At 46.9% G+C, this 13,383-nt stretch overlaps 2 protein-coding genes and 1 pseudogene across 6 annotated transcripts in view; 2 read left to right on the top strand and 1 right to left on the bottom strand.

The window, feature by feature from the left end:
• Positions 1 to 13,383, top strand: part of HEATR4 (HEAT repeat containing 4) — a 155,331-nt gene that overhangs the window by 86,457 nt on the left and 55,491 nt on the right. The gene's annotated exons all lie outside the window — the stretch shown is intronic.
• The window catches only part of ACOT1 (acyl-CoA thioesterase 1), a 52,864-nt gene continuing 43,042 nt past the window's right edge, over positions 3,562 to 13,383 (bottom strand). The window contains exons 1-3 of one of the 3 annotated variants that reach the window (NM_001037161.2): positions 9,480 to 10,215; positions 5,663 to 5,865; positions 3,562 to 4,308 (exon numbers count right to left, since the gene is read on the bottom strand). In NM_001037161.2, the coding sequence (NP_001032238.1) occupies positions 3,703 to 4,308; positions 5,663 to 5,865; positions 9,480 to 9,936 (1,266 nt within the window). In that variant the 5' untranslated portion in view covers positions 9,937 to 10,215 and the 3' untranslated portion in view covers positions 3,562 to 3,702. Of the gene's footprint in view, positions 4,309 to 5,662; positions 5,866 to 5,950; positions 6,072 to 9,479; positions 10,216 to 13,383 lie in introns of those variants that run through there. The other 2 variants (XM_017021589.2, XM_017021590.2) reach the window with 2 other exon arrangements.
• Positions 7,526 to 8,383, top strand: NT5CP2 (5',3'-nucleotidase, cytosolic pseudogene 2; annotated as a pseudogene).

The raw sequence follows: 13,383 nt of genomic DNA, 5'->3' as shown, positions 1-13,383 counted from the left end.
CCAGGCTGGCGTGCAGTGGCACGATCTTGGCTCTCTGCAACCTCCGCCTTCCGGTTTCAAGTGATTCTCCTGCCACAGCCTCCGGAGTAGCTGGGATTACAGGCGCCCAGCACCACGCCCGGCTAATACTTGTATTTTCAGTAGAGATGGCGTTTTACCATGTTGGCCTGGCTGGTCTCAAGCTCCTGACCTCATGATCCACTCACCTCGGCCTCTCAAAGGGCTGGGATTACAGGCGTAAGCCACCGCACCGGGTCTTTTTTCTTTTTTTGAGACGGAGTTTTGCTCTTGTTGCCTAGGCTGGAGTACAGTGGCGTGATCTTGGCTCACTGTAACCTCCGCCTCCTTGTTCAAGCTATTCTCCTGTCTCAGCCTCCCAAGTAGCTGGGATTACAGGCACATGCCACCACACCTGGCTAATTTTTGTATTTTTAGTAGAGACAGGGTTTCATCATATTGGTCAGGCTGGTCTAGAACTCCTGACCTCAGGTGATCTGCCCGCCTCGGCCTCCCAAAGTGCTGGGATTACAGGCATAAGCCACTGCACCCAACCTCTGTTTTCAAATAAATAAGTGAATCATTATGGAGCATGTTAGTTTAATGAACTTTTCTGTGTATTTCACAGTGTTCACAGTGTGCATGGGTTGAAAGTGAAAAGAAAAATGTCTTTCAAATAACTAATAAAGACTAACTAGGCTGGGCCCGGTTGCTCATGCCTATAATCCAAGCAGTTTGGTAGGCCAAGATGGACAGACTGCTTGAGCCCAGGAGTTTTGAGACCAGCCTGGACAACATGGTGAAACCTTGTCTCTGCAAAAATACAAAAATTAGCTGTCCATGGTGACATGTGTCTGCAGTCCCAGCTACTCAGGGGGCTGAGGTGGGAGGATCACTTGAGCCTTGGAGATCAAGACTGTAGTGAGCTGAGATCATGTTACTGCCACTGCACTCTAGCCTGGGTGAGAGTTAGATCTCGTCTCAAAAAAAAAAAAAAAATACGAAATGTCAAGAGGCTGATAGGTAATCTGAACCCTTGTGGTGCTTTTTAAAATTTTTCATGTTATTAAAACATTTTTTTGCCAAGTGCGGTGGCTCACGCCTATAATCCTGGCACTTTGGGAGGCCAAGCCGGGTGTATCACCTGAGGTCAGGAGTTCGAGACCAGCTGACCAACATGGCAAAACCCCATCTCTACTAAAAATACAAAATTTAGCTGGGTGTGGTGGTGGGCGCCTGTAATCCCAGCTACTTGGGAGGCTGAGGCAGGAGAATCACGTGAACCCAGGAGGCGGAGGTTGCAGTGAGCCGAGATCAAGCCATTGTACTCTAGCCTGGGCAACAGAGCGAGACTGTCTCAAAAAAAAATTGTTTTTATAAGATGGTGTCCCACTATGTTACCCAGGCTGGCTTGAACTCCTGGGCTTAAGCAATACTACTACTGCCTCAGCCTCCAAGTAGCTGGGATTACAGGCATGTACTTCTACAACCACCGGCTCATCTGTGGTGCTTTTGAATCTAATATTCACCAGCCTGAATTTCTAAGAATGGAGAATAGGGTCCCTAAGGTCTCAAAAGGGCTTCAGCAGACTCAAGTTTGGGATCTAGCATCTACTAAAACAAGTTTTAACTATTGCACTTTTCTAAGAGAGTCATATACTATATAATTGCAAGGGAAAAGATAAAACAATATGACTTGAAATTTTGTGTTGTGGCCTGGCATCTTGGGGTGGGACTTGGCCAGGCCAGCTATGAGCAACTGTCCCAGATTGCATCATCTCTAAGAGTTTTCAGAGCCTCAGGTCATGTGTACTCTAAATGGGGCTCCATGCCCAGCACTGGCATTCTTGTGGAAGTTTGGAGACATGGCACCAGCTGCATTCCTGGGTTGCAGAGTAACACAGGAGGTAGCTTCATCTCAGGGTATCATCTCTCTACTGTAGATCTGGTTATATTCTACTGCTACAAAACCATGAATTCCTTTAGAAAAAAGGTGCCGGAAGCTGGCAGCGGTGGCTCACACCTGTAATTTCAGCACTTTGGGAGGCTGAGGCAGGAGGATTGTTTGAGCTCAGTAATTCAGGACTAGCCTGGGCAACATTGGGAGACCCCATCTGTACAAAAAATTAAAAATTAGCCAGGCATGGTGGTGTGTGCCTGTGTGGTCTCAGCTGCTAGGGAGGCCGAGGTGGGAGAATAGCTTAAACCTACGAGGTTGAGGCTGCAGTGAGCCGTGACTGTGCCACTGCACTCCAGCCTGGGCAACAGAATGAGACCCTGCCTCCAAAAAAAAAAAAGGAAAGAAAATAATAATAAATTAAGGTTTTTTTTTTCTTTTAAATACAACTAAGGTTTAAGAAAAAATCAAGTTTATTGTGTAACTATTTATATCAAGTGATATAAATATTGTCTTTCTTTTTCTTTATTTTTTTTTTGAGACAGTATCCTGCTGTCACCCAGGCTAGAGCGCAGTAGCACAATCTCGGCTCACTGCAACCTCTGCCTCCAGGGCTCAAGCAGTTCTCCCACCTCAGCCTCCCCAGTAGCTGGGACTACAGGCATCCGCCACAATGTCTGGTATTTGTTTGTAGAGACGGGGTTTTGCCATGTTGCCCAGGCTTGTCTTGAACTCCTGGGTTCAAGCAATCCACCAGCGTTGGCCTCCCAAAGTGCTGGCATTACAAGTGTGAGCCACCATGCCAAGCCTAAATTGTTATTGAATTTCACATTTGTCATTGTTAAAATCGCTTATGTAATTCATCTCAATAATGTTTTATCAGCTTTTGAAACAATTAAATCCTAAAGGTCCATATGTATAAACAGGAACATAAAATTTATTTGCACTAGGAGAATCCTTATTAATCCAAGGAGAAGATATCAAAGAACTAAATATGTATTGGTTTTGAAAAGTTTTAGTAGTTTTATATCTAACTAGTAATCAGTTTATAGGCAAGATGTTAACTTCCATTCTTAAAGGAGAAACTCAAATCTGATATACTTTTTATATTATGTGCTTTTCTTCCACAGTAGGTAATCATTTATTTATTTAATTAATTTATTTATTTTTGAGGCATAGTCTTGCTGTGTTACCCAGGCTGGAGGGCAGTAGTGCAATCTCAGCTCATTGCAACCTCTGCCTCCCGGGTTCAAGCAATTCTCCTGCGTCAGCCTCCTGAGTAGCTGGGACTACAGGCATGCGCCACCACGCCCGGCTAATTTTTTGTATTTTTAGTAGAGATGGGGTTTCACCATGTTGGCCAGGCTGGTCTCAAACTCCTGACCTCAAGTAATCCGCGCACCTTGGCCTCCCAAAGTGCTAGGATTACAGGTGTGAGCCACCACGCCTGGCTCACTTATACTCATTCAGCAAATAATTATTGAACTCCATTTACGTACCAGACACTGTTAATTGATGTTACTCACTTTTCCTTTCAGAACTAAAGCCTTATCAGTTGTGTGTTGAGATAGGAAGAGGAGACTTTTTCCACTTCTTGTGTTTCCTACAGTTACTCCCTTCCCAAACTGATAAAGTATACAGTTTATAAAAATCTTAAAAACTCATTCTTACTGGTAAATTCATTTTAATAATGAGGGGAAGAAACTTTAAGAAGTTATGAGAAAGAATGAATACACATACACACACTAAATGTGGCAGATGTTTCCAGGAGAGATTAGCAACAGAGAGGCCACATGATCAAATAAAATTTACACTTTTGATGGGATTGTCCCCTCGTGGCCACCCAAGTGTTTGTGGAAGAAAGTCTGGAGTTGTTTCCAAGCATCCACCTGAGCCATGGCATGAGCCCTGGGCTCCCCTCCCCAGATAATAGGACTGCCCACCAAGGCATGCAGGGAAGCCCGACACAGGGGGAAGTAAGGAGGCTCAATATAGTGCCCTGTCTCTGGGTAACAGATGATCTGGGGCTTTCTCCTCCCATGGGCCTGCAAGCGTTTACAGGCCTCATTAGCATAGAACTCACTCTTCCAGTTGTGGTCATCCTGACCTACCAGGAACAGGAAGGTGCTCTCTGCCCTTTCCACAGGAATGAAGCTCTTCTGGTCAGGTCCTTCCAAAGGGCTGTTCAGGACATCCACAATGTCTGCATAGCCATCTTTGGTCACCTTGATGCGATTTCTGTTGACGCCCACAGGGGGCAGGGTCTCGCCCTTGTAGCGTAAGGTTCCCCCAACATTGGCCACAGAGCCGTTGATGACGACAGCAGCCGTGATGCCCTTCAGGAAAGAGGCCATGGAAAGGCAGAGCTCACCCCCTTTGGAAATTCCAAGCAGCCCAACTCCTGGACCTTTTACCTGAGAAAGGGACAAAGGAAAAAGAAGAAGAATGGCTCCACAAACAGTGGAATATGGTGAGTTGTGCCCACCCTGGAAGTTAGTTGAACCTGAGTCTGAATCTGGGTTCTACCATTTACCCAGATTTGCAGCTTTGGGAATTTACCTCCCCTCTATCTCTTCCTTTCCACAATTTGTCCATCACCACTCTTGGTGATAACCATGTGGAAGATCTATCAATTACTCTGGTTTCTCAGTTCCTTAATCTCATTATCTCCCATGATCTTTTTCTGTCTCCCACCTGAGCCACCCATTCCCACTGTCATAACTAAACTGAGTCGTCATCAACAAGTACGTCATCTCATGGCCGGGCGTGGTGGCTGACGCCTGTAATCCCAACAGTTTGGGAGGCTGAGGCGGGTGGATCATTTGAGGTCAGGAGTTCGAGACCAGCCTGGCCAATATGGTGAAACCCTGTCTCTACTAAAAATACAAAAATTAGCCAGGCAGAAGTGGCATGCGCCTGTAGTCCCAGCTACTCAGGAGGCCGAGGCAGGAGAATCGCTTGAACCTGGGAGGTGGAGGTTGCAGTAAGCCGAGATCATGCCACTGCACTCCAGCCTCGTTGACACGGCAAGACTCCGTCTTAAAAAAAAAAAAAAAAAAAGAAAGAAAAAACATACTGGAATTTAAAATTGCATAATACCAACTACAAATATCTTTACTAGCAGGAAATATAGTAATATAGAATTGAATAGAAACTGTCTATAAGAGGCCAGGTGTGGTGGCTCATGCCTGTAATTCCAGCACTCTGGGAGGCCGAGGTGGGCAGATCACTTGAGGTCAGGAGTTTGAGACCAGCCTGGCCAACATGGCGAAACCCCATCTCTACTAAAAAAAAAAAATACAAAAATTAGGCTAGGCATAGTGGCTCATGCCTGTAATCCAGCACCTGGGGAGGCCAAGGCAGGTGGATCATTTGAGGTCAGGAATTCAAGACCAGCCTGACAAATATTGTGAAACCCCGTCTCTACTGAAAATACAAAAATTATCCAGGCATGTTGGCAGGTGCCTGTAATCCCAGCTACTTGGGAGGCTGGGGCACAAGAATCACTTGAACTTGGGAGGTGGAGGTTGCAGTGAGCCAAGATCGCACCACTGGACTCCAGCCTGGCAACAGAGTGAGACTCCATCTCAAAAAAAGAAAGAAGAAGAAGAAGAAAGAAAGAAACTGTCTATAAGAAGTGACTAAAAAAGGTAGTGTGTGTTGGGGTAGGGAATGGCTGTCATGAATGAGCTAACTTCTGTGAAAACCCAGACCATTTAAGAAGAGACCTGATACATCATAGCCCATAAATCTGAGAGAAGAACTCACCTCAGGATGACTGAGCAAGTAGTTCACAGCTTCTTCAAAGTACTCCAGATGGAGCGTCTCCATGGTCTTGGGGAGGTCTTCATAGTTATAGTAAGCCAGAGCCATCACAGCAAAACCCTTCCCAGCCAGCAGACTAGCCCGATACTCCAGCAGGCCACCTCCAGTTCCGAACATGTCCACAATGCCAGGAAAGGGCCCAGGTTCTTGGGAAGAAACAAAACAAAATGCAAAACTAAGCTATTCCTGAAACAGTTGGATGGTTTCTTACCAAGTTAAACATATACTTACCACACATGTGACCCAGCAATCCCACTCCTAGGTATCTACCCACGAGAAATGAAAACCTGTGTTCGTCCAGAAACTTCTGGCAAGTGTTTATAGTGACTTTATTCATTGTAGCCAAAGACTGGAAACAACCCAAATGTCCTTTAACTGGTGAATGAATCCATTTAATGGTGCACCACCAAGAAACAAAAAGAAAGACTGCTACATAGAAGAGCACAAATTCCTCTCCAGTGCACTCAACAGAATGCACTTATTCAATGGAGACAGACTCAAAAGGCTACTCATTCTGAATGACTCCACTTACTGAATATTTTTATCATTTACATTAAAGGTTTTGTGTTTCACACAAAATTAAAGAATAATAATGCAGGCTGGGTCTGGTGGCTCACGCCTGTAATCCCAGCACTTTGGGAGGCTGAGACGGGTGGATCACCTGAGGTCAGGAGTTCGAGACCAGCCTGGCCAACATGGTGAAACCCCATCTGTACTAAAAATACAAAAATTAGCTGGGTGTGGTGGCGGCCACCTGTAATCCCAGCTACTCGGGAGGCTGAGGGAGGAGAATCGCTTGAACCCGGGAGTTGGAGGTTGCAGTGAGCCAAGATTGTGCCACTACTCCAGCCTGGGCGAAAGAGCGAGACACTGTCTCAAAAAAAAAAAAAAAAAAAGAATGCAAACACCTTACAGGCAACACTTTTAAGACATAGTTCAGTGCTGATACCCGCAAACCATCAACGTCCCACAGACCCCTGTGCCCTTTCCTCTCTTTCCAGTATCCTGGACTTTCTGTGTATCACTCTTGGTTTTCTTCATAGTATTACCACTTAGATTATGTACCTTAAACAATATTTTATTTTGCCTATTTTTTGAACTGTATCTAAATGGAATGATACTGAATGTGTTCTCCTAGTGTTTGACTGTTTCACTCAACAGTGGTTTGGAGATTCATCCATGTTGATTCTTTTTTATTTTTTTCTTTTCTTTTGTATATCTTGATAGATGTTGATTCTTCTAGCTGTAGTTCAATCACTTTGACTGCTGGAAATATACCTCAATTTATTAATCTGTTCTATTGTTGATGGACATTTGGACTGTTTCCAGTTGACTTTGCTCTTTTTTTAAATTAATCCAGACTGCTCATCTGCAATGGCTTTCCTCTTATAAGGAATATGCCTCCTGGTGCACATGTACAAGTAGAATAACATATTTAACTTTGTAAGTTAAGACAAATTGTTGCCCAGAGCAGATGAATATGTTGACTCCTTCTAGCAGTGAGTTTCATTTCCTCCACATACTGGTCAGCAATTGATAATGCTAGCTTCTAAAAGTGGGCCACTTCTGAGGGTGTGAAATGTACTCTGTTGTTTTATTTTGCATTTCTTTGATTATTAATAAGGATAAGCATCATTTCTACACTGGCTGATTGCTCTTTATGTAATATAAAAGTATCCAGTAACCTCAAATTTCCATTTGACAGGAAGAGGCTTTCCTATTGTAAATGCTAATTTACATAAACCTTAACATACTGTGTGAATTGAAAGAAAAGTTGCAAAAATGAGAAACTTTTAAAGAACATTTCTGGGCCCCATACCCCTAGGATCCCGAGAAACCCCAGTGCCCCGGCAGCGATGAGCACAGCCCACGCGTGTGCTGATGGACAGGGACCGCGTGCTGGCAGCTTCCAGACGGCATCCTGTGGGGCTTCAGCCGCCGCTTCTCAGGGAGCTGCATGTGACACTGCAGCAGCACCGCAGCTTCCTGGTCTGGAAGCAGTACCTCACCCTGCTGCCGGACCTGGTGGATAAAGTGGCCCATGGGTGTGAAGCCCTAGGCTTTTCCCTAGTCTTGAAGCCCAACCCCAGAGGGCCTTGCAAGAGATGAAGCACATGCAAAACACCGAGGTCTTCACACTGCACCAGCCCCTGCCAAAGTATGACCACTGTGTGGGTGAGAAGCACCGCTGGGTAGAGCAGCACCTGGAGTCCCAGCTTGTGGAGTGAATTATCCTGACAATGGACAAGACCGTGGTCTTTGGGGACTTGCTCACTGATGACAAGGATACCATTCGAGGCCAAGAGGAGAGGCCACAATCAGTACCTGGTCCTGCCATGCACAGGGAGGTGGCTGCTCTCCTGGAATGGTAACAGGACGGAGATCATAGCCAGCCAGCAGGGAGCTAGGCAGCAGGAACGAACAGGCCCTGCAGGGGGCAGCAGCTGCAGCTGGAGCAATGGTGGGCGGGCAGGCACCAAAACCTCTGCACTGTCACAGGCCCAGCCACCTGGCACCTCCTAGCTGCCATGGAAATACAGTGAGAAAACCAGTTGGAATTCTTTTTATTAAAAAAAAAAGTGACTTCCTGGTCCATACATAAATAAGAACATTGAAACTACTTGAAAATTTTTTGTTGTTGTTGTTTGTTTTTTGTTTTTGTTTTTGTTTTAGATGGAGTTTCACTCTTGTCCCCCAGGCTGGAGTACAATGGCGTGATCTCGGCTCACTGCAACCTCTGCCTCCAGGGTTCCAGCGATTCTCCTGCCTCAGACTCCCGAGTAGGTGGGACTACAGGTGTGCACCACCTCACCTGGCTAATTTTTGTATTTTTAGTAGAGACGGGGTTTCACCATGTTGGCCAGGCTGGTCTCGAACTCTTGATCCGCCTGCCTCGGCCTCCCAAAGTGCTAGGATTACAGGTGTTAGCCACCGCGTCCGGCCTGTTTTTTTTGTTTTGTTTTGTTTGTTTTTAATATTATGTGTCTTTTCTCTTTCCTTACAATGCCTTTTTTTTTTTTTTTTTTTGAGACGGAGTCTCACTCTATTGCCCAGGCTGGAGTGCGTGGCACGATCTTGGCTCACTGCAAACTCCGCCTCCTGGGTTCATGCCATTCTTCTGCCTCAGCGTCCCGAGTAGCTGGGACGACAGGCGCCCGCTACCACGCCCGGCTAATTTTTTGTATTTTTAGTAGAGACGAGTTTTCACCGTGTTAGCCAGGATGGCCTTGATCTCCTGACGTCGTGATCCGCCCGCCTCGGCTTCTCAAAGTGCTGGGATTACAGGCGTGAGCCAGCGCGCCCAGCCCTTACAATGTCTTTTAACTGAGCACTAGGTTTGAGGGACCTCTCAGTTTTGGAGCGGCAGGGGCAATTCCCCAACCAACTTTCCATTCCATTCCTGTCTCCTTACACTAACCTCCGGAATGTTGGAAGCTACATCCTTTCTCCGTATGAAAAGCGCAGGGACGAAAAAAAATAAAAATAAAAAAATAAGTGTAACTCCCCTCAAAGGGCCGGGCGCAGTGGCTCACCCTGCAATCCTAGCTCTTGGGGAGGCAGAGGCGGGAGGATAGCTTGGGTCCAGGAGTTCAAGACCTACCTGGGCAACATAGCCCGGGGTGGTGGTGGTGGGGCGGGAGGAGGGACACACACACAAGCGAAAAGAGCGGGGCGGGGCGAAGGGGACACACACACACACACAGTGGAAAGCGCAGGAACAGGGATGGGCAGAGGGGAACAATTAGCGGAGGTGAGTCACCTGGCGGCAGGAAGAGCGTGCCTCGCACCCGGCCCGCGCGCACCGGCTCGCGCCGCACCCCGGGCGGGAGGAAGTAGCGCTCGTGCCGCACCCGGCACAGCAGCCGCCCGGGGTCGGGGTCGTGGCCATCCAGCACCTCCAGCTCCACGGCCAAGGGCGTTCGCACGTCGCGCTTCACCAGCCGCACCAAGGGTTTCTCGGGCTCCAAGGCCCAGAGCAGCCCCATGGGCTCAAGCCCCGCGAAGCTGCCGCCCAGCGCGGGCGCGCGCTCCAGGTCCAGCTCGCCAAGGGTGTCGGCGCGGTAGCGCGCGTGGGCCTGGAAAAGCGCGCCCTTCTCGTCGCGCAGGGACGCGCGCAGCGTGACCGGCTGCTCCGGGGCTAGGCCGCGCACGGCGATTCGCACCGGTTCGTCCCAGCAGCAGCGGCCCGCGGGCTCCAGGATCAGCGTCGCCGCCATCCGAGCAGGAACCCAAATAATCCGGCCAAACTGCCTCAGCTGTGGAGACCCCTGCAACTCTGCCCAACTCTTCCTCTCGGGCTGCCGTCGCAGGCTAAACGCCCACTAGGGCAGAGCTGTCTGCTAATGTGAGCGGGGAAGGCCAGAGTCCAGCCGATCAGCCAGACCAAATATAGACACACTGGAACTTGCTTAAAGTCTCCTGTGTTGAAACCTCCACTTTATGTTGGAAAGCAACTTCCTAGGTTTGCTTTTCAGAAGCTTGCTGGCTCGCGGAATGGGCTGGGCCAGGACTGGTTCGTCCCGGCTACTCGGGAGGCTGAGGCAGGAGAATGGCGTGATCCCGGGGGGTGGAGCTTGCAGTTGGCCAAGATCATGCCACTGCACTACAGCCTGGGCGACAGAGCGAAAGTCCGTCTCAGAAAAAAAAAAAAACAACAACAACCAGGCAGCTAGCAGTCTCCAGGCTCCAAACTCCTGATGGCGAAGAGGAATGCAGGACTGGAGTTGGTTTTGATCACTTTGTTGAATAATTCACACTCATTACTAATCTTAGGGCTTTTCTTTCAAAATCTGCACCATGGTGTTTTGCTTTCGTGTTCTCTGTATATGCCTATCCTCCACATCACTCCCACATCGAAGGGTGCTGGCTTCTTACTAGCTGTGTGACCTCTGAGCTTTATTCCTTACAGGTGTAAAAATAGCCAAATGAGGTAATAGTTATTAATTTCTCGAACTCCTGACTTTGTGATCCGCCCGCCTCGGCCTCCCAAAGTGCTGGGATTTACAGGCGATGAGCCACCGCGCCCGGCCAATAGTTATTATTTTCTTATACTGGTTTCTCATTTTTGTCCCAGTCAGGCAAGTGTTACCTCTCATCTTTTTTTTTTTTTTTTTTTTTTTTTAAAGAGACAGGGTCTCACTACGTTGCCAGTCTGGAGTACAGCGGCGGTTTACCATCACTGCGCACTTACAAGCCTCAAACTCCTGGGCTAAAGCCATCTTCCTGCCTCAGCCTCTCAAACACCTCAAGGGACTACCGGCGCTCCCCATGCATTGGGCTTTTTTCTACTTTTTCATAGGCTATTGGTTCCAACCAGAGGTGGTTTTTTTTTTTCATCAAACTTAAGCTTTAGGCCCCTCCCAAGCCCTTGTACCTGATTTCATAATTTCCTATCTTGGTAATTAGAGAAACCTATAAATGCGTAAGCTTCAAACTCACAAAACCTGTGTTTGCCTCTGCTCCTAATAAGGCTGTCCTCAAGGTAAGCCTTTTTATCTCTTTCCAAATGCTCTCATGTCCCATGTCCCATGTCATTATCATACAACTCCCTGTTAGTTGTAATTACCTTTGTATAGGTTCTGTGGCACACATCAAGTATATTCTGTGCATAGAAGTCTCAGGAACTAAAGAAGGTAAATAATAGTAGCTAATTGTTAATACTTACAAGAACCGTAGTAGTAAATTAAGGCCCAGAGAATTTAACTGATTTTCTGAAGATCATACAGCTGGGAAGTGGAAGTTGGGTGAGGTGGCTCACGCCTATAATCCCAGTTTACTTGGAGGCTGAGGTGGCAGGGTTTCTTAAGGCCAGGAGTTTCAGACCAACCTGGATAAGACCCTGTCTCTAACAAGAAAAAGGGGCCAGGCGCGGTGGCTCGCGCCTGTAATCCCAGCACTTTGGGAGGCCGAGGCGGGTGGATCACGAGGTCAGCAGATCGACACCATCCTGGCTAACACAGTGAAACTCCGTCTCTACTAAAAAAAAACCAAAAATACAAAAAATTCGCCGGGCGTGGTGGCAGGCGCCTGTAGTCCCAGCTACTCGGGAGGCTGGGGCAGGAGAATGGCGTGAACCCTGGAGGCAGTGCTTGCAGTGAGCCAAGATGGCGCCACTGCACTCCAGCCTGGGCAAAAAAAAAAAAAAAAAAAAAAAAAAAAAAAAAAAAAAGAAAGAAGAAAAAGAAAAGAAAAAGGGAGAGGGTTCATATGTTTGAAATCTGATTCTCAAGGCTGGGCTCTGAACAACTATGTTTAACTGTCTCTCACAGGATGTTGAAGAAGATTTGGAAAAGAAACTCATATTGGTGGATATATAAACTGGTATGACCTTTTCATGGCAATCTATGCAAAAATATTTAAAAGATCCCTTCTCTTTGACTCACAGTTCCACGTCTAGGAATTTGTTTTAAGTATAACTTCATAAATATGTGTAAATATTTGGCTACAAGGATGCTAATCATATCATTTTAATAGAGAAAAAATTAGAAACAAGTTAGCAATATAAATTTGGTTTTACCAGTTTAATTGTGATGTCATAAATGAAAGCAGTTTAGTTATAAAGCAGAAGAATATATGATGAGCATTCTTCCATGAAACTGATGAAAAAAAGCAGGTTAGAGAACAGTATAAATATACTTTTTACCAAGATATTAACATATTTTTTAAAAAGACTAGTCAAACACTCCCCCAGTAGCTGAATGCAGTGGTAGATGCCTGTAGTTCCAGCTGTTAGGGGGGAGGCCTAGGCAGGAGATTGCTTGAGCCCAGGAGGAATTCGATACCAGCTTGGGCAACAGAGCAAGACCTCATCCCTTAAAAAAAAAAAAAAAAGCAGAAAAGATAAGACATGAAAATTAAAAAAAACACACATCTAACTATTTCAAACTGTTGTTTCTTGAGCCTTGAGGTTTTATGCATAGTATTTGTTTATTTGCTTGTTTGTTTTTTAAGACGGGGTGTCTCACTGTGTTACCCAGGCTGGAGTGCAGTGGTGCGATCATAGCTCACTGCAGCCTCAACCTCCCAGGCTTAGACAGTTCTCCCACCTCAGCCTCCCGAGCACCTGGGACCACAGGCATGCACCACCACACCTGGCTAACTTTTTAGATTATTTGTACAGATGGGGTCTCCCTATGTTGCCTGGTCTCGAACTCCTGGGCTTAAGCAATCCTCCCACCTTGGCCTCCCTGAGTGTTGGGATTATAGGCAAGAGCCACTACACTCGGCCATGTTTCTTTTTTTAATTCTTTTTTTTTTTTCAAGACAGAGTCTTGCTCTGTCGCCCAGGCTGGAGTGCAGTGGTCTGATCTCGGCTCACTGCAACTTCTGGCTCCCGGGTTCCAGTGATTCACCTGCCTCAGCCTCTTGAGTAGCTGGGATTACAGTCACATGCCACCACGGCCAGCTGATTTTTGTATTTTTAGTAAAGACGAGGTTTCACCATGTTGGCCAGGCTGGTCTCAAACTCCTGACCTTGTAATCTGCCTGCTTCAGCCTCCCAAAGTGCTGGGACTAGAGGCATGAGCCACCGTGTCTGGCCTTAACTCTTATTTTTTAGAGACTAGGTCTTGCTCTGTCACCCAGGCTGGAGTGCAATGGCACCATGATGGTTCATTGCAGCCTTGAACTCCTGGGTTCAAAGGATCCTCCCACCTCCTCTTCCC

This window comes from Homo sapiens, chromosome 14, assembly GCF_000001405.40.
Source record: "Homo sapiens chromosome 14, GRCh38.p14 Primary Assembly".
In the NCBI taxonomy this organism is placed as follows: domain Eukaryota; kingdom Metazoa; phylum Chordata; class Mammalia; order Primates; family Hominidae; genus Homo; species Homo sapiens.
This window is presented reverse-complemented; position numbering and strand designations above follow the sequence as displayed.